Source organism: Homo sapiens, chromosome 2, assembly GCF_000001405.40.
Source record: "Homo sapiens chromosome 2, GRCh38.p14 Primary Assembly".
In the NCBI taxonomy this organism is placed as follows: domain Eukaryota; kingdom Metazoa; phylum Chordata; class Mammalia; order Primates; family Hominidae; genus Homo; species Homo sapiens.
Genome location: NC_000002.12, coordinates 27,078,036 through 27,094,721, shown reverse-complemented (window position 1 = coordinate 27,094,721; position 16,686 = coordinate 27,078,036). Strand labels below are relative to the sequence as shown.

At 57.6% G+C, this 16,686-nt stretch overlaps 2 protein-coding genes across 15 annotated transcripts in view, besides 8 other annotated features; both read right to left on the bottom strand.

Moving 5' to 3' along the window:
* KHK (ketohexokinase) overlaps nt 1-7,950 on the bottom strand; it is a 13,991-nt gene extending 6,041 nt beyond the window's left edge. For 4 of the 14 annotated variants that reach the window (XM_005264294.5, XM_005264296.5, XM_006712008.5 and 1 more), the window contains exons 1-3: nt 7,371-7,950; nt 2,274-2,390; nt 111-248 (exon numbers count right to left, since the gene is read on the bottom strand). In XM_005264294.5, coding sequence (XP_005264351.1) covers nt 111-248; nt 2,274-2,390; nt 7,371-7,462 — 347 coding nt within the window. In that variant the 5' untranslated portion in view covers nt 7,463-7,950. The remainder of the gene's footprint in view (nt 1-110; nt 249-2,273; nt 2,391-7,370) is intronic. The other 10 variants (XM_017004060.3, NM_000221.3, XM_006712009.5 and 7 more) reach the window with 3 other exon arrangements.
* Nucleotides 942-1,527: an enhancer, noted in NCBI's record as "H3K4me1 hESC enhancer chr2:27316063-27316648 (GRCh37/hg19 assembly coordinates)". NCBI's record gives its function as "activates a minimal SCP1, AML or CMV promoter by ChIP-STARR-seq in naive H9 embryonic stem cells {active_cell/tissue: H9 hESC(naive)}" and the evidence as "EXISTENCE:reporter gene assay evidence [ECO:0000049][PMID:30033119]".
* Nucleotides 1,528-2,113: an enhancer, noted in NCBI's record as "H3K4me1 hESC enhancer chr2:27315477-27316062 (GRCh37/hg19 assembly coordinates)". NCBI's record gives its function as "activates a minimal SCP1, AML or CMV promoter by ChIP-STARR-seq in naive H9 embryonic stem cells {active_cell/tissue: H9 hESC(naive)}" and the evidence as "EXISTENCE:reporter gene assay evidence [ECO:0000049][PMID:30033119]".
* Nucleotides 7,697-7,756: an enhancer, noted in NCBI's record as "active region_15490". NCBI's record gives its function as "activates an Ori minimal core promoter by ATAC-STARR-seq in GM12878 lymphoblastoid cells {active_cell/tissue: GM12878}" and the evidence as "EXISTENCE:reporter gene assay evidence [ECO:0000049][PMID:35858748]".
* Nucleotides 7,947-8,406: a silencer, noted in NCBI's record as "silent region_11284". NCBI's record gives its function as "represses an Ori minimal core promoter by ATAC-STARR-seq in GM12878 lymphoblastoid cells {active_cell/tissue: GM12878}" and the evidence as "EXISTENCE:reporter gene assay evidence [ECO:0000049][PMID:35858748]".
* EMILIN1 (elastin microfibril interfacer 1) lies at nt 8,319-16,107 on the bottom strand. Its single transcript, NM_007046.4, has 8 exons — nt 15,487-16,107; nt 14,452-14,571; nt 13,770-13,990; nt 10,711-12,639; nt 10,191-10,307; nt 9,714-9,731; nt 9,425-9,562; nt 8,319-9,044 (listed from the first exon to the last, which is right to left on the bottom strand). The coding sequence occupies exons 1-8, from the start codon at nt 15,654-15,656 to the stop codon at nt 8,707-8,709; spliced, it is 3,051 nt and encodes a 1,016-aa protein (NP_008977.1). The 5' UTR covers nt 15,657-16,107; the 3' UTR covers nt 8,319-8,706.
* Nucleotides 8,457-8,616: a silencer, noted in NCBI's record as "silent region_11283". NCBI's record gives its function as "represses an Ori minimal core promoter by ATAC-STARR-seq in GM12878 lymphoblastoid cells {active_cell/tissue: GM12878}" and the evidence as "EXISTENCE:reporter gene assay evidence [ECO:0000049][PMID:35858748]".
* Nucleotides 8,747-8,966: an enhancer, noted in NCBI's record as "active region_15489". NCBI's record gives its function as "activates an Ori minimal core promoter by ATAC-STARR-seq in GM12878 lymphoblastoid cells {active_cell/tissue: GM12878}" and the evidence as "EXISTENCE:reporter gene assay evidence [ECO:0000049][PMID:35858748]".
* Nucleotides 13,144-13,403: an enhancer, noted in NCBI's record as "active region_15488". NCBI's record gives its function as "activates an Ori minimal core promoter by ATAC-STARR-seq in GM12878 lymphoblastoid cells {active_cell/tissue: GM12878}" and the evidence as "EXISTENCE:reporter gene assay evidence [ECO:0000049][PMID:35858748]".
* Nucleotides 15,908-16,686: an enhancer, noted in NCBI's record as "H3K27ac-H3K4me1 hESC enhancer chr2:27300904-27301682 (GRCh37/hg19 assembly coordinates)". NCBI's record gives its function as "activates a minimal SCP1, AML or CMV promoter by ChIP-STARR-seq in naive H9 embryonic stem cells {active_cell/tissue: H9 hESC(naive)}" and the evidence as "EXISTENCE:reporter gene assay evidence [ECO:0000049][PMID:30033119]".

The window sequence follows — 16,686 nt, the reverse complement described above, 5'->3', positions numbered from 1 at the left end:
AGTGGGGAGAGGGTGCTGGAGCACACGAGCCTCTAAGAGAAGAAGAGTCCTGTTCTGGGAGTTTTGGTGGCGGCGGCAGCAGCTGGCAAGGCACAGACAGTTGTACAAACCTGTCATAGTATAGGATGGTGCGGCTACCACTGGCCTCGTTGATGATGACCGTGGCGATGGGGACGGAGCCTGTGGTCTGAAAGACTGTGTAGCGTAGGTCCACAGAATAGCGGCGGAGGTCATCCAGGACAAAACTGCTAGGGCGGAGTAACCCGAAGGGGGTGCAGTTCGACAAGGGTTTTGGGGACTGGAGGGTAGCTGGCAGGGCCACTAGGGACCCTGAAAGGCAGGGGTGCAAGCAAAGGGGGCTGGGAGAGAACTGGGAATCACAGTCTTGCCACAGGCAGTGCAACAGGGCAGGAGATGCAGGAGTGCAGAGCCTGGAGCTCAGAGAGAGAAACACTAAGGGCCATCCTTTTAGGTCTTGGCTGAAGCATGCTCCGATCCTGACTCTGTTTTTCAGTCCAACTCATGCTGGAAAGGATTTGCTCCTGTTCATAAAGCTAGACAGGACCCTAGAACCTGTACACTGTTTGAACCAAGCATGTGGGGGCACCGTGGCTTGTTTCCTGCAATGCCCAAACAGGATTAATAATTAATCTCCAAGGCAATACTTTGCCCCCAGCTGTCCTCCACAAGCTCATCCAGGGTGCTGTCCTCTCTCAGTCCCTCCCAGTCCTAATGCTGTGATTCCTCTCACTCTCTGCCTGCCTCCAGGAGGCCCAGCCTGGAAGTGGTGCTGCCTTGGTGAGCCAGCTCACTGCTTTGTCCTCCTGCAGCCAGGTGAACCCTCCTGGGCAATCAGCTGGCTCCCCGTGCCTGATGCCACTCAGTATGGGCCTGGTCCAGAACTCTCTCCTGGAATGCCCTCCATGCAGAGTGAGCCCAGGGGCAAGGACAAGGAGGTCAGCCCCAGCCCTTCCAGCCCTCTATGGACAGGCATTGTTCTGTGCTCAAGAACTGGCAATTATGCCCAGCAGTCCAGCCACCATCCTGGCTTTTCTCACCTGGCCAGAGCCCGCTTTCAGCAACACCAAAGCTGGATAATACAGATTTGCATAAAGATACCAAGTCAGGGCATCATCCCTTGACTTACAACTCCTTTAAATAGTAACTTTCCCAAAGCATTGGAAATATGGTTTGGTTTGCCAAATAACTTTCGCACCCCAGTGCCTGGGACATGGTAGGTGCTCTCTAAATGTTTGTCGAGCACATGGGGAGAATTCTGAATAAACCACCCATTGGCCTGATTGCTATGTAAAGGAGAGTCGACCATCCTAAGCCAGAGCCACAGTCCTGCCTCTAGCTCAGAGGAAAGGAGCTATTAAAGAGGTTTAATGAGTCACCAGCCCTTGGTTCTGAGCCGTCCTGTCCCATCTCACAGGGCAGATTCTCTCCCTCTATTCTCTTCCTGCCAGTTCATCAAGGCAGGGAGTTTGGCTGTAGCTCAGGTGGTTGGACTCTGCCAGCAGCCCCCTTCAAACCAGGGTTCAAAGGGCTGCCCTTCACAGGCCAGCAACCTGGCAGCCTGCCCCCGTGCCCACAGTGTGCAAAGTGTGGGCCTCACCTCCCGATAAGTGCTTGCTGAGTCGGCAGCGCCAGGGGTCAAAGGGCTCTGAGGTCCCTGCAGCAGCCAACATGGAGGGCGTGCATGAGCCATTTAGGGCTATAGCCCTGACAGCCGGGGAACTGGGAGGTGTGGGTTCTGAGCCCAGCTTTAGCATGTGGCTTCAGGGTGTCCTTGAACAGGGTACTCTCACTGCTTCAGTGAACAACAGGGACATGAGCACCAGCCCTGCCTCTCAACTGGGACAGAAACTGTGGGCCTGGACCTGGGGGAGGATGGGTACCACGTGTCCCTAACTGCCTTCTGCCTCAAGCATGGCCAGGATAAGGGACTTAAGATAAGGCAAAGGCACATCCACCGCAGAGTCTGCAGGAAGCAAGGAAGGAGAAAGGAAGAGGCTGAAGCAGGCTCCAGAAGTGTCCAGGAAACAAGCTGTGGCAAGGAAAGCTTCACAGGGGCAGCATCAGCCCCCGAACCGCAGAGAGGCCACGCCAAGGCAGGGCTGGGCGTCTGGTGCTCCGCCATGCCCCCTCCCCGCGTTTCTGCTGGACACAACCCATTTCTAATCCCCCATCCACCCAGGGTGGATACATCCTTCTTCTCCCACAATGATGCAGGCAGGCCTTCCCCAGTGGGCTCTCCCTCCTGGACTTACTCAGCAACATGGCCAGGAGCCATTGAGCCCATGAAGGCACAGGGGGCTCCGAGCAGGGAGAGAACGGTGCAGGAGTTGGACGCGTTGCCTCCGCGCTGCCATCTCTGGGACAAACACCTGCAAAGCACAGGGAGGGTCCCTGCAGCCCCAGCAGGCTGATCCCAAGCACAGTCTCCTGTATAGGGGCCTACAGAATGTAACAGCTGGGGACTCCTCTCAGAAAGCATCTAGGCCGACGTCTCACTTTGTACCCGGGGCAGCCGAGGCCGGCCAAGGGAAGGAGCTTGGCTGAGAGCGGTGTCTACCTCCCCAGCCCAGGCTAAATTCAAGCTGACAGCAGTTCCTTTCAATATTTCCATCTGTTCCTAGGGCAACAGGAAACCACTCACTTGGGTCCATCACTATTCGAGAGACCCACTAACTCCAGGTCATCTCCTCCTCACCTTTCACCCCAGTCAGAGCTGCTCCAGACGCTGCACCTTTGGCCTCCTCCTTGAGAGCTGGAGCAACTCCAAGGACCTCGGGGACTAAGTGCCTCTTCCCAAAGGTATCACATTTACACCTACCCCTGTGTTAGGAGTGTCTACTTCAATAGAAACTGCAGAGCTATAAAATCAAACGAGTAAGACAGGACAGCAAACCTGGACGTTGGTCGTTTAAGAAGTGGCAGCAGGGAGCACTTCTCCATCTTTACTAAAAACCAACCAAAAGGAAACTAACAAGACACACGTGAAGGGCTTCATTGTCATCAGCAGCAAAAATGATAACTTCCACATAGAGGGTCAACGCACTGATCCCCTCACAGTGTTACTGGAGCCCAAATGAGAAATCATTAATGAATGTTATTACCTTTGAGGTAAGAATGGTGGTGTTATTTCTATTGTGCCAGTTCCAATAATAATAATAATTGTGGCAGTTTACAATAAAAGGAACAGTACCAAAGAACCACGAATTAAGAGAAAAAACCGAACCAGAATTTTTAGGCCAAAGCATATTTGTACGCGAAACTTCAGTTTTGGGAAAAGGGGAGCACGATGTCATTAGAAAAAAAATGATAGTAGGACAGGCACAGTGGCTTATGCCTATAATCCCAGCACTTTGGGAGGCCAAAGCAGGAGGATCACTTGAGCCCAGAAGTTCGAGACCAGCCTGGGCAACCAAAGGGAGCTCTTGTCTCTAAAAAAAAAAAAAAAATTAAAAATTAGCTGGGTATGGTGGTGCATACCCGTGGTCCCAGCTACTCAGGAGGCTGAAGTTGGGGGAGCGTATGAGCCCGGGAGGTTTAGGCTGGGGTGAGCCATGATACTGCACTCCAGCCTGGGTGGCAGAGTGAGATCCTGTCTCAAAAACAACAATAACAACAATGACAAAGGATAGTAATTTTTTTGTTTTTTTGAGACAGAGTCACTCTGTCACCCAGGCTGGAGTGCAATGGCATGATCATGGTTCACTGCAGCCTCAACTTCCCCAGCTCAACTGATCCTCCCACCTTAGTCTCCCAAGTAGCTGGGATTATAGGTGTGCATCACCATGCCCCGCTAATTTAAAAAATTTTTTCGTAGAGATGGCATCTTCTTATGTTGCCCAGGCTGGTCCCGAACTCCTCGGCTCAAGCGATCCTCCTGCCTTGGCCTCCCAAAGTGCTGGGATTATAGGTATGAGCCACTGCACCCAGCTGGTCAAAGATTTTCAAGCTGGCCGGGCGCAGTGGCTCACGCCCATAATCTCAGCACTTTGGGAGGCTGAGGCGGGTGGATCACGAGGTCAGGAGTTCAAGACCAGCCTGGCCAAGATGTTGAAACCCTGTCTCTACTAAAAATACAAAAATGAGCCGGGTGTGGTGGCAGGTGCCTGTAATCCCTGCTACTCGGGAGGCTGAGGCAGGAGAATCTTTTGAACCCGGGAGGCAGAGGTTGCAGTGAGCCAAGATCATGCCACTGCACTCCAGCCTGGGTGACAGAGTAAGACTTTGTCTCCAAAAAAAAAAAAAAAAAAAGAAAGAAAAAAGAAAAAAAAGATTTTCAAGCTGAGCTTTACAGCTTTACAGAAATTTTTACGAAAAGATATGAAAAAAAAGGAGGAATCTCGAGGGATCTGACTTGATCAATAGTTAAGGACAAAGCTGATGTGGGAACCCAATTTCCTGACCCCAAAGCCATTGCTAATTACTCCGTATTTTAAAACTAAAAGTTGTTAGGCCCAAGCATTGAGGTTTCTAAGAAAGGATATAGAATTTTACTCTGGGGAAACCCTTCAAAGTCACACTGATATTTCCTGTGCAGAAATGCTCAGCTAAAGGCTGGGCGCGGTGGCTCACGCCTGTAATCCCAGCACTTTGGGAGGCTGAGGCAGGCGGATCGCCTGACGTCGGGAGTTCGAGACCATCCTGACCAACATGGAGAAACCCCATCTCTACTGAAAGTACAAAATTAGTTGGGTGTGGTGGCACATGCCTGTAATCCCAGCTACTCGGGATGCTGAGGCAGGAGAATTGCTTGAACTCTGGAGGCGGAGGTTGCAGTGAGCCAAGATCGCACCATTGCACTCCAGCCTGGGCAACAAGAGCAAAACTCCAACTCAAAAAATAAAAAAAAGGACACGTCCCAGGGGTCTGGCTGAGCTCCAGGTGGCGGCTCCCAAGAGTCCCCAACTGCCTGTCAAGCACAGAGACCCTAGGACAGGTGGGGCTGAGACACCCAGGAAGGACTGGGTCCCCACTCGGATGTGCTCCTCTGGGAGGCACAACAGTTCAGGAGCCAGGCTGCAGGGAACCAGGGCCATGGGGCTGCGGGGAAGGCATGGCCTGGAGTGCAGGAAGCATGATGGACATGGGAAGGGGCCCTTTAGAGAAGTGCCTCGCTCAGTGCCCACCTTCAGAACCTGCCCCATCAGTGTGGGTGCTAGCAGGACCTCCTTCTCCTACCTTCCCGACAGAATTAAGCTGAGAGGAAATGGGACTTCAGCTCTGACAGAAAGAGGCGCTGAGTCTTTTCCCAGGCTCTCCACGGTCCTTGGAGAACCTGTGGCCCTGGAATTTGCACTGTTGCCCTGAGATGAACCCAACTCCTCACTGAGTGCCATGTCCTGTGGCTGCCTCGACCTTGCACAGTGGGTTAGGTCTACACAGTGGCATGCCCGTGCCCCTTCCCCAGTCCCTGCACCCCTGGCAAGGGGCCCTAACCTCTGGCAAACCAAAGCAAAGGGTCAACTCCAAGAGATGGTCAACAGCAAAGGGACAGGGTATACAGGAGATGACAGAGGGCAGGGACCCTGGACTCCACACTAGGAGACTCGAGCTGCAGCTGCCACTGTGCCACCATTTAACTCCGTGGCCTTAAAAAACATCTCCAAATCTTCAGCTTCCTTATCTGTATAAAGGATTTCACTGATCTTTACACAGTTCCCATGGGCTGCTGGGAGGAGAGTATAAAATAATATATGTGATGGTGCTTTGTGGCCCCAAAGCCTGAGGAGTGTCGGGGTCTCTCACCTCAGTTAGCCTGGCAGCCATCAGCACTGTCGTGTCTTTGTGGAGTTCAGTCTTGAACTGCCTCTTATCCAGTTCTTAGCTGCGACAACTGATATAGCCCAGGAGCAATTCTCAGTGTTCTAAGCACTCACTGACTGCACCAAGAGAAAGCTAGTGTCCCGCCCCACAGAAATGCCTTCACAGCATTACAGTGTAATGGTGGGGCCCTTATCAAGAGGAAATACAAGAACCAATAAGCCGGGTGTGGTGGCTCATGCCTGTAATCCCAGCACTTTGGGGGACTGAGACGGGCAGATCACTTGAGATTAGAAGTTTGAGACCAGCATGGCCAACATGTCTTTACAAAGAAAAGCCCTGTCTCTACAAAAGAAAAAAAAAATTAGTGGGGCATGGTGGCGTATGCCTATAATCCCAGCTACCCAGGAGGTTGAGGCAGGAGAATCGCTTGAATCCAGGAGGCGGAGGTTGCAGTGAGCCAAGATCATGCCACTGCATTCCAGCCTGGGCAACAGAGCGAGACTCTGTCTCAAAAAGAAAAAGAACCAACAAATCGGCTGGGTGCAGTGGCTCATGCCTGTAATCCCAGTACTTTGAGAGGCCAAAGCAGGAGGACTGCTTGAGCCCAGGAGCTCAAGACCACTCTGATCAGTATAGTGAGAACCCGTCCCTTATACAAAATTTAAAATACAGCTGGGATGGTGACGTGCATGTGTGGTCCCAGCTACTCAGGAGGCTGAGGTGGGAGGATCACTTGAGTCTGGAGGTCAAGGCTGCAGTGAGCATGGTTGCACCACTGCACTCCAGCCTGGACGACAGAATGAGACCCTGTCTCAAAAAAAAAAAAAAAAAAAAAAAAAAAGAACCAACAACTGACTCTTCAGTTTCTAGCAGACAACTGAGAAAGATATTTCCCACTACTAAACGGTGTTCATTGACCTCTGTGAAAAGGACTTCTGGTAAACTCCTCTTGGAATTTAGCACCAGGAAAAAGCTTGCCAGGGCTCATGAACCAGCTCTATCCATACATAACCCATGGCATCTCATGTTTGCCTCCAGTGCCAGCAAGCCCTGAGCTATAGTTGAAGCTCAAATACCATGGTCTTAAATGTTCTCCAACAGTTTAACTGTACATACTTTTTACTGTAAGCTACCTCAAATCTTTCTCAGAAATAGGTGCGAGATATGTGGATAAATAAGTTAGAAGTAAATGTTGATGAGAGGCAAGTGCATAGGCTTGGGGTTTAAAAAGAAACAGCAGAAGCAGGTAGCTGTGTGCCCCTGGATAAGCCCCTTGGTCTCTGAATCTATACTTATCAGTAAAATGGGGATCCTGATGCCTGACACCTGACACCTGATGCCTGAGTTGAAATGGAAATTGGCTAACACGATGCTATTAAATCCTGGGTCTTCTTATTAAAGGCCTCAATTCCTTCCTCTCTTCTGTCATGCTGGGAGCCCCCCCAGGATTCCCGGGTAGAGGGCGCGGGTCCGGCCTTGAAGCCGGGTTCTCAGGGCCTCACTGCGGGGTCTCTGCAGCCTCGGTCGCTGGCACAAATGCTGGACTGCAGCAGCCCCTGGGGTCCCCTAGGGGACCTGGGCGCCCCTACCTTATCTCCGAGTCCTCCTTAGGGTACTTGTCCACCAGGCTGATGACGTCCAGCACCACTAGCCCCACGCACAGGATCTGCTTCTCTTCCATGAGGCTACTCCCAGAGCTTCCTGCCCGCCCGGCTGACGGGGTTCCTCCCGGCCTCTGCCTCTTATCCAGGAGGATGGTGTCCCCGCTCCCAGCTGCCCTGGCTCCTCCTCCGCGTGGGAGCTCCTCCTCCAGGGAGCCACCTGCAGCGGCCAGGGGTGCAGGGAACGAAAGGAGCAGGGCCCTTCCTCGCGACACCCGAAGACCCGAGCGGGTCTAGGAAAGCCAACCCAGAGGTCTTGGTCCCCGGTCTTCCCGTAGCAGGTTGCCTGGGCCTGCAGATGGCAACGCCTCCCACTTCTCAGCCTTAGTTTCCTCGCTTGTCAGATGGACTCACAGCTGATGCAAACCTTTTTAAAGCGCGGCTAAGCGATCTCGAGAATGCAAAGAGAAAATGCGCTACTTGCCCCGCACTCTCCTGCACCTGCGTCTCCGACTCCCGACCCGGGACACGCGAGGTACAGCTGGGCCTCGCATCTGCAGCCCTGCCTGAAGCCCGCGGTCGCGGCGGCCCCGCCCCGCCCCGCCCCGCCCCGCCCCGGTTAGTCCCAGCCGAGGCCACGCCTCCGCCGCGGAGGAGCAGGACCCGCCGGGTGGGCCGCAGCCTCACGTGGCGGGAACGCAGAGCGCCCCCTGGCGGACGCCGGCGAAACGGGCGTGACACGGGGGAGACGTCGCAGGAGCCGGGCGGGCGCCGCTTGCTGCCTGAGCCAACCCCGAGCCGCCCCGAGCCGGGCGGAGGCGGCGAACGCAGTGCGGAACCCGGGGTCCTCTCCGGAGGCCGTCGTCTCTCCCGCCCCGTGCCCTGTGCACGCCCGGCAGCCCCCGACCCCGTACCGTAGCAGAACGGTTCGTTTAGTTTTTTTTAGAAAAACCAAGTGTCTTTATTCCTCGATCGTTTAGTATGGCGGTGGGCGGCGCCCGCGCGGGGGAGCCTGGAGCCCAGGGAATCGACCTGGAGGGCCAGTGGAGGGAGCGGAGGGTGCGAGGATCGGCTCCTCCGCAGGCCGGCCCTGGAGGGGTTCTTGGGGGATCGCGCCAGGCCAAAAGTCTGCATGGGCGGCCCCGAGCCTCCCTGAGCCGGCGCGCCCCGGGCGTGGGGAGAGGCCGCTCTGGGCGCGGTGCCGCTGCGGGCCCGGGTGCGGCGCTCGCCCAGGGCTAGGTGCCCCGTCTCAGGCGAGACCCCAGGAGCCCGCCGCCCCCGCTGTCTCTTCAGCCGACGTAGACACGTCGGGCGGGACCCCAGTCTACGCGTGTTCAAGCTCTGGGTCCCCATAGAGCAGGGCCCCGCTGAAGATGGTGAGCGGCTCCTCCGAGTGCGCCAGCTGCCCCATGACCAGGTCGACGCAGACCGTGTCCCCGGCCTGCAGCGGCAGGATGAGGCTGAAGACGCCCAGGGTGCCCGGGCTGGGCTGGCTCTCGGCCACCGGCTTATTCTCCAGGCCCTCAGGCTCGTAGCCACCGGAGTCTACGCGGGCCACGCCCTGGTTGGAGCGGGACAGCACGGCCTCCACTTTCTCGTGCCGGTGCCCAGTCAGCACCGCGCTCAGCAAGTAGCGTCCAGCCAGTGGCGCTGTGAACACGCCTGGGGACAAGGATAGCAGTCAGGGGGGCCAGGGAAGCTCCGGGGAGCGCACCAGAACTCCTGGACTGAGGAGGGACCCTCTGGGTCTTTTCACCTCACTGGAATGTGAGCGGCAGGGAACTGGGGGCTTTGTTCACTATGCATTCCCAGCACTTAAAACAGTGCCTGGGCAGGAGCAGGCCCCAGTAAAGATCTGCTGAATGAATGAATGACTACTTCTTCTCCCCACTGCCTGAGAATGAATAAATGAAGAAAGAGCCGGGGTCTCCCCAAATCAGAGAATGAAGATTCACACTGTCGGAAAAGGCAAGAATGGGAAGATATCACTGCACACCTCACCCATTTCTCCAACCGTTCAACCCAGCCCCTCCCAGGACTACCTGTCTCTGGATCATAATAGCCTCCATCATTGAGCAGGACTCTGTCGAAGGGGACCGTGCCTGGTTCAGACCGGGGCAAACTCAGAGCAGCTGAAAATGCCACTTGGGGCACAGGGGCTGCTGGTGCCCCCTCCACTCCTGAGTGGGAAGGGTGGATGTTAAAGGGGATGCTCAGGGCAGAGTGCCAGCCCCCTTCCCCTGCTGGATCCCCAGCCCAGGGCTGCCCGAGGACCTCTATCCTCCAACCCCTAGTCACTTCTCCCTCCAGAATCAAATGAAAGGCACTCACCCTGTTCACCTTGAGGACCTGTGAGAAGAGGAAAGGGAGCAGTGAGAAATAAAGCAGCTCTCACTAAGTCACTCAGCAAACATCTGCTGAGGCTCTCCTGTTGTGCTCGGTGCTACGTGGACTTCAAAGCAGGAATTGGGGTATCAAGAAAAACAGGAATAGGTAGGGTCCATTCTGTTCAACTGCTGGGCCATCCCAGCCTTTCACACCCCAGACAGCTATAATAGACTCAGCTTTAGTCTCCAGTACTGCAGTGGGGCCAACATTATCCATTAGCCTCCTAATACCCATTAACCAAACACAGTGACTATCACAGTTCCTCCTCACTTTCCTCTGATTTTCCCTTATCGGTCAGGTAGTACCCAATTCCCCTTGTCAAGTTCAGAGTGGAATGTCAAGCCTGGGGCTGCCAGCGGGGGTCAGGGTTGGAGGGGGCAGTGGCAACCCTGACTGCAGCAAGGGTCTCAGTGCACATACCTGGTGGCCCGATGGGGCCCTCTTGCCCGTCCTTGCCTGGTGATCCTGGAGGTCCAGCAGGGCCTGGGGGTCCCTGCAGCCCAGGAGGCCCTGGGGGCCCAGCCTCTCCTGCAGGCCCTACAGTGACAAAATTGAGTTGAAGGAGGGCCATAAAAGGAGTTTCCAATGGGTAAGGAAGGTGGGTGGTGGCTTCATGAACAGGGAGAAGATGGATGGAACAGGTGGAGCTTTGCAGGCTGAGGGGGCCATGGGGTCCCTTGCTGCATATGCTGGATCCCTGGCTGGCAGAGCAACATCCTCTCTCCACCCACAGGCCTAGTGAGCAGCCAGAGGGAGGGCGGGAGCTAGGACCTTGCATCATCTCTTGCAGGCAAACTATAACACCTGGAATACTGGCTGGGGCTGCAATTCATGTTGGGAAAAGCAAGGAGAAAGCAGATGAGTTGGAAGCTGGGCTGGGGGAGGGAGAAGAAAAATAAGGGGCTTGAAAGGGGTCCCCTCATGCCTTTTGTCCCCTCACCAGTGAGGTCCTTCAGGCTGAGCTGGTGCAGACGGTCCTCCAGGAGCTGCAGGGAGCTGTTAAGGGCACCCAGCCGCCTGCCCAGGCCCGCCTGTCCCCCGACCAGCTTCTCCAGCAGGGCTGCCTGCATCTGGCTGGTGGTGTTGGTTTCCCGGAGCCCAGCCCAGAGCCCAGCCACGTGTCTGGAAAGGCCCTCGCGCAGGCCCTGCAGTCCCCCAGCCACAGTGTCCAACCGTTCACAGACACCCTCAAGACGGCCCAATCGCCCCTCTAAGCTGGGGCACTGGCCGGCCTGTGCTTGTCCCTCCTCTAGGCCTCGGAAGCGCTCTTCACTCTCTGTAGCATGCTCTGTGGCCTCCTGCTGCAGCCTGTTAATCTCAGAAATGATACGGTCCTTGGTTGCCCCCAGGTCAGCCAGATCAGCGCCCTGGCCCTCCACAGTGGTCTGGAGCTCATTCAGTGAGTCATTGAGGGAGCTGAAGCTGAGAATAACCTCAGAGAGCTCTCCTTGCAGGGCCTGCAGGGCTGAGCCTGAGCTGCCCCCAAACACGCTGAAGCCGTCCAGGGGCCCACGGCTTGGGCCCCCAACACCTGGACCAGCCCCAGGACCCCGAGGAGGCAACAGGGGGCAGGAGCAGCGCTCCACACCATCCCGAAGGCGGCCTAGTTCCTCTTGGACTCCGCCACAGGCCCCACAGCCCTCATCCCCATGGGCCTGCAGCAGCCCCTCCAGTTGGCCTAGCCGGGCCGCAGTGAGATTCAGCCGTAGTGTGAACTCTGCAGCTGTCTCATCCTGGGCATCCACACGATCCTGGAGCCGGCCCACAACCTCTTGTAATCCCTCCAGCGTGGCCTGCCGGGCCTCCCCCGCTGCTTCCACCGTGTGCAGGCCGGAGCCCACCAGCCGCAGCTGCCCCTCACTGTCCAGCACCCTGCGCTCCAAGGCACTGAGGATCTCGCTGACTTGAGAGTCCTGCTCCCCAGGGGCCCCAGAGCAGAGCTGCCCGCATGCCTGCATGGCCCCTGCCACCTGCTCCTCCAACAGATCCAACCGCCCCCCCAGCTCCCCGCTCACATTGGCCAGCAGCCCCCCCAACTGCTCTAGTCGGCCCCGGGCAGCAGGCAGCCAGTGGCTCAGCCCCCCAGGAGCCCCAGGCCAGCTCTCCTCCTGCTCCTCCGAAGGGCCCAGGGTGGAGTTGAAGCGGTCCTCCAGGCGAGACAGGCGGGAGGCCAAGCTGGTGTAGCCTGGGGGGTGGCCTCCCTGCCCCGCGGCTCCTCCCAGCTCTGTGCCTCGCCGCCCACTCAGCACTGTCACTGAGCCGGCCACGACATCCAGCCTGCGCTCCAGCTCTGCCAGTCGCCGGCCCAGCTCTGGAGAGCAGCATTCCTGAGGGGGCCTGCGGCCCACCGCCAGCCCTGCGAGGTGCCGTTGCCGCTCCTCCACCGAGGCCAGCAGCTTCTCCATCGCTCGCAGCCGCTCCCTGTCCTCCTGCTGCTGCCGGCGGAAGCCATCTAGCCCGGCCAGGCACACGGAGCAGGACTCCTGCAACCGCTGCTCCAGCTGCCGCAGCAGCTCCTCACTGGGGCCCGGAGGGGCTGAGGCTGGGGCTGGGGCCCTGCTGCCCCCACTGCTGCTGCTGCCGCCATGATGGTTGTTGAGGTGACCCAGCTCCTGGTCGTGGGTGGAGACGCGGGTGTCCAGGAGCTGCAGCTGGTGCTGGATCTCATTGAGGGTTTCATGCACCCCAGGGCGGGCAGCCGCGTCAGCTGGCTGCTGCCTCCCGTTGAAGGCCGTCTCCACAGCCCTCTGCACATCCTCTGCCAGGCGCCCGCTCAGTCCTTGCAGGACGCCCCGCAGGCCTTGCAGCTCCTTGGTCAGGCTCTGCACCTGTTCCTCCAGCTGCTGCACCTTCTCTGACTCCCCAGGACCTGAGGAGAGGGGAAGGCAGAAGGCAGAGGGGCTGGACCCCAGAGCTCAAGGCCCCTGCTCACCCCAGCTCCAGCAAGGGTCAGATGCCCAGGCTGGCTCTGCCTCTCCTTTGGGTGATTTTGGCAAGAGAAAAAAAAAGAAACTCCATTCACTGAATGCCTCTAGGCCAAATATGAACCATGGCTCTGTTCTTCAATAACTCCCCTGGGGAGATACCATGAACTCTTCCCATCATATAGGCTGGGAAACTGGACCAGAGATATTAGGTGCCTGGCCATGGATCACAGGTTTAATAAATGGCAGTGCTAAGTTTCAAACCCAGACCATCTATCCAGCCCCCAGGTCCATGTCCTTTCCACCTGCCCAGAGTGCCTCTTAACTTCTTGGAAACTCTTTCCTCTTCTGCGAAAGGATAATGACACTCTTCTGTCATGGGGCTGTCAAGAGGGGCGAAATGGGAGTGTAGGGAGGCACTCTGGATGCCACAACAGTAGCTACCACTGGGTGACACTTCCCTGCAACACCACGGGGACAAAGAAGAGGCTCTGTGGACGGTGAGAGTTGGCCAGGAGTTCCTGTTTGCATAATTATAGTAAGGCTATCTCGGGGCAGGGAAACAGCACATCCGGTGTGCAGCACGCAGGAGGGAAGGCAAGCCACAGGAACTGCTGCATGCTGGGACCTGCGGTCTCCAGAGGCCACGGAGGGGTCTGGGATCTGTAGTCAGGTGCAATGCATGCTAGGATTTGTAGTCTCAACTGTCTGTCCCCACGGACCAAGCTTCTCAAAGGAATGCCCCTTTCTCCTGCAGCTGTTTGAAGGATCTTGGCCACATGGGGCGTGTGCGAGCACCTTCTCTTTTTTGGCCTTCTTTTTCTCAGTCTCTCCATCTTTTGCGTGCTCTCTCCCTCTCTCTCACACAGACACACAAATACACACACACACACACACACACACACACACACACACACACGGGCAGGGAATCTCTGCGATCTCACTAACCCTTCTGCCCCTCTCTTCTCTCTGGCATAGAGCACGGGGGACTCCCCCAGCAGCCTGGCCCCACATTTCCCATTGCATTGGATCACCATTTGGAACTTGCCACCCTCGCAGCAGCTCCCACACTCACCTTCTCCCCCCAGTCCACTGAGGGGGCTGCCTGCACTGGAGCCAGAGAGGTTGGGGCGGGCAGGCCGGGCCAGGGGCCGTGGTGTGGAAGACGCAGGCCCCAGCGCTGGAGCGGGACTCTCAGCACAGTCATCGCCCCCATAACCCTGACAGCACCTCCACTCCATGTCGGTCACTGTCTTGTAGGCCACACGGTAGCGAGGGCGGAGGAAGCGGCGGTACCTGGCAGAGGCAGAAGGAGGCCTCTTTATTCCTCCCTGTACGGTCAGTGACCCTGGTCCCTGTCCTCAGGGGTGGGCAGCTGCTGGTGGGCATGGCCTGTCCCTCAGGCTGGGTCCCTCTTACTGTCCAACATGTGGCCTTGCTTAGCTGACAGCTGTCAGCTTTTTGGCCAAGGGTTAAATCCCTGCTCTTCCTTCCCTTGCCCTGTGCTGGAACCTTGAACTCCTCTGCTTGAGCCTGAGCCATCCCAGAGAAGGCATCTGGGGCTGGCGCGTGAGGCAGGTTTGCCCTCAGTCTCCCACCAGCCAAACTGTTGTCTCAGTATCTCCTCAAAATGGCTGTGACCCTAGCCCCTGTCCTGCCCTTGCTCCCTGCTTCATACAGACTCCCTGAGTCAGCCACCCACCATCTGCCCTCGCCCAGTTCCCACCAAGGGCCCGTTGCCCGGCCCTGGGACTCACATGATGCTTTGGGGACACTGGGGCTGGCCCCAGGCACAAGGCTGGTACTTGACATATGTCTCCACTCCATCCTCAAGGACACAGCTCACTGTCCGGGTCACCACGTAGGCACACCAGTTCCTGTAGGTACAACCCCCTCTGGGTCCAAGGACCAAAGATACATGCCCTGGAGGAGGGCCCAGGGGCTACCAGAGGGGCTGAAGAAGGCTCCAAAGATGCAGAACCCTTGGGGATCAGTGAGAGCAAGGGCTTTGGCATCGCCACCCTCCCTATCCCCCACGCTTTCCTGTGTAGCAGGAGCAGATAAAGACTTTTCAAGATGGGGAGACGCGCAGAATGGAAAACCACAGAGCAGTCAATCCTCATGGTGGTGGGGTCCCGGGGAGCCTCTGAATGTACACAATCATGTGTGTCCCTTTCTGGGCCTGTCTCAGTCCCCAGATTGGCATGCTGTGTGCGCATAGCCAGCCCGGGCCCTGTGGGTGATCTGAACACTGGCTTCCACCCCACCCCTCCAGGAGAAGACGGGCAGGCCAGCTTGGGGTTAAGTAGAGAATAAGCCATTGATGAGCCTGCCCCTCTTGGGGATTGCAGTTCTATACTCCTGGCCCCATTCACTCCGGCCTCTGATCTGTGTCTGGCTGGAGGGCTGGAGGGAACAGAGCTGGAGTGGTGTCAGAATTATGGATTACTGGATGGGGTCAAGGGAGCCCTAGAAGGGGACAAAAGTTCTCCCTGAGGCTCTGGGGCTAGGATACAGAGGGCAGCTGGCAGGAAGGCCTGGCCCGCTCCCCTCAGGGCAGCTTCCCTGGGGCATGTGGGAGCGGACCCCCTAGGTGACCCAAGGAACATATGTGTTCAGGGGGTCCTGGAAAAGGCCCCGTGGGAAGGTGGGCATGTGAGGAGCCACCTGATGGATGGGCTTCTCACTCCCCCTCTGCCCTGCATTAGCGGACACAGCAGAGAGCCAGGCAGAGGTGGCATTCTGACCCCTTCCTCACCACCCAAGCCTCGGGCTGGGATCCAGACTCTTACCTGTGGCGGCTGGCTGGCCGGGGGGCAATCTGGGCCTGGGGCCCCCCGGGGCTGAGGGCCCCACTGGAACCTGTGTAGAGGCTGAAACCTCGAGGAGGGTAGCTGGCGGCCCCTGCAGCTGCCGTCAGCAGGCAGCAGAGGTAGCAGCTCCAGAGGGTGCGGGGGGCCATGGCGGGGCGCTCCACAGTGGCCCTCAGAGACTCATCCCGCCCAGCCACTGGCGCCTCTGCCGGCCCCGGGGATGCTGCTGCTCCACAGGACAGCCCGAGCCCGGCCCGTCCGTCCCAGTTTCCTTCTGATAGCCCCCGGCCACACGTCTTCTCCTTGGCTGCCTGGCCTGACCCCTCTCCCCTCCTCTTTCCTCCTCAGCTCCTGTCCGTCCCCTCTCGGTTCCTTCCGCTCTCCTCTTCACTTCTGAGGGGGTTTGTTCTCTGTGCCCCCTCTGGCCTCCCGCGCCTGGTCCCTGCCCCTCTCAGGAGCTGCGTCTCAGAAGTTGCCTCCTGGGCGTCCGCCCCCTCGTCCCAGCTGGCCCTCTTCTGGTCTCCCTGTCCTCTTTCCCTGATGACCGGATCCTGGGGGTGACAGGGCTTTGCCCCTGTGGCTGTTCGGAGGCGCGAGAGTGGCTGTGGGGCGGGCCCTGGCCTCCTCCTCCCTGCTGGCTCCCCTCCCTTCCCCCCTGTCTGGCTGGCGGTCCGGCCTCCCCCTTCCTCCCCCCACCTCTCCAACCATCGTGCGCCACATCTGCTTCTTGTTAACTCCGGGAAAGAGGGAAAAAAAAGGAAAAACAGAAATGTGGAGTTGCCGCCGGGCTTGAGGCCAGCCTCTCAGATGGGCCACATGGAGCCAGGGCCGAAGCTGGGAAGGAGGCCCAGGGCTGGTCACTCCGACTGGGAACAGGAGCCAGGGCCGCAGCTCCCCTGGGGCTGGAGCAGGCCTCCCCTGGGGGAGAGGGCCCCAGAGAGGGAGCCCAGAGGGGAGGGTGGGAGGGAAGGACTGACTGGACAAGGGAGAATGAACTCGGAGGGCTCAGCAGGACTTCACTCACCGTCTAGTCTAGCAGTCTCCTTTTAGAGATGTGAAAATTGAGGTCAGAGTGGGAGAGTGACTTGTCCAAGGTAACACAGCAAGTCAATGGTGAGGCTGAGAACACACACTAAATACTAGGTCAGTGACTTGGGAGAAAGGAGGAGAGGAGAATGT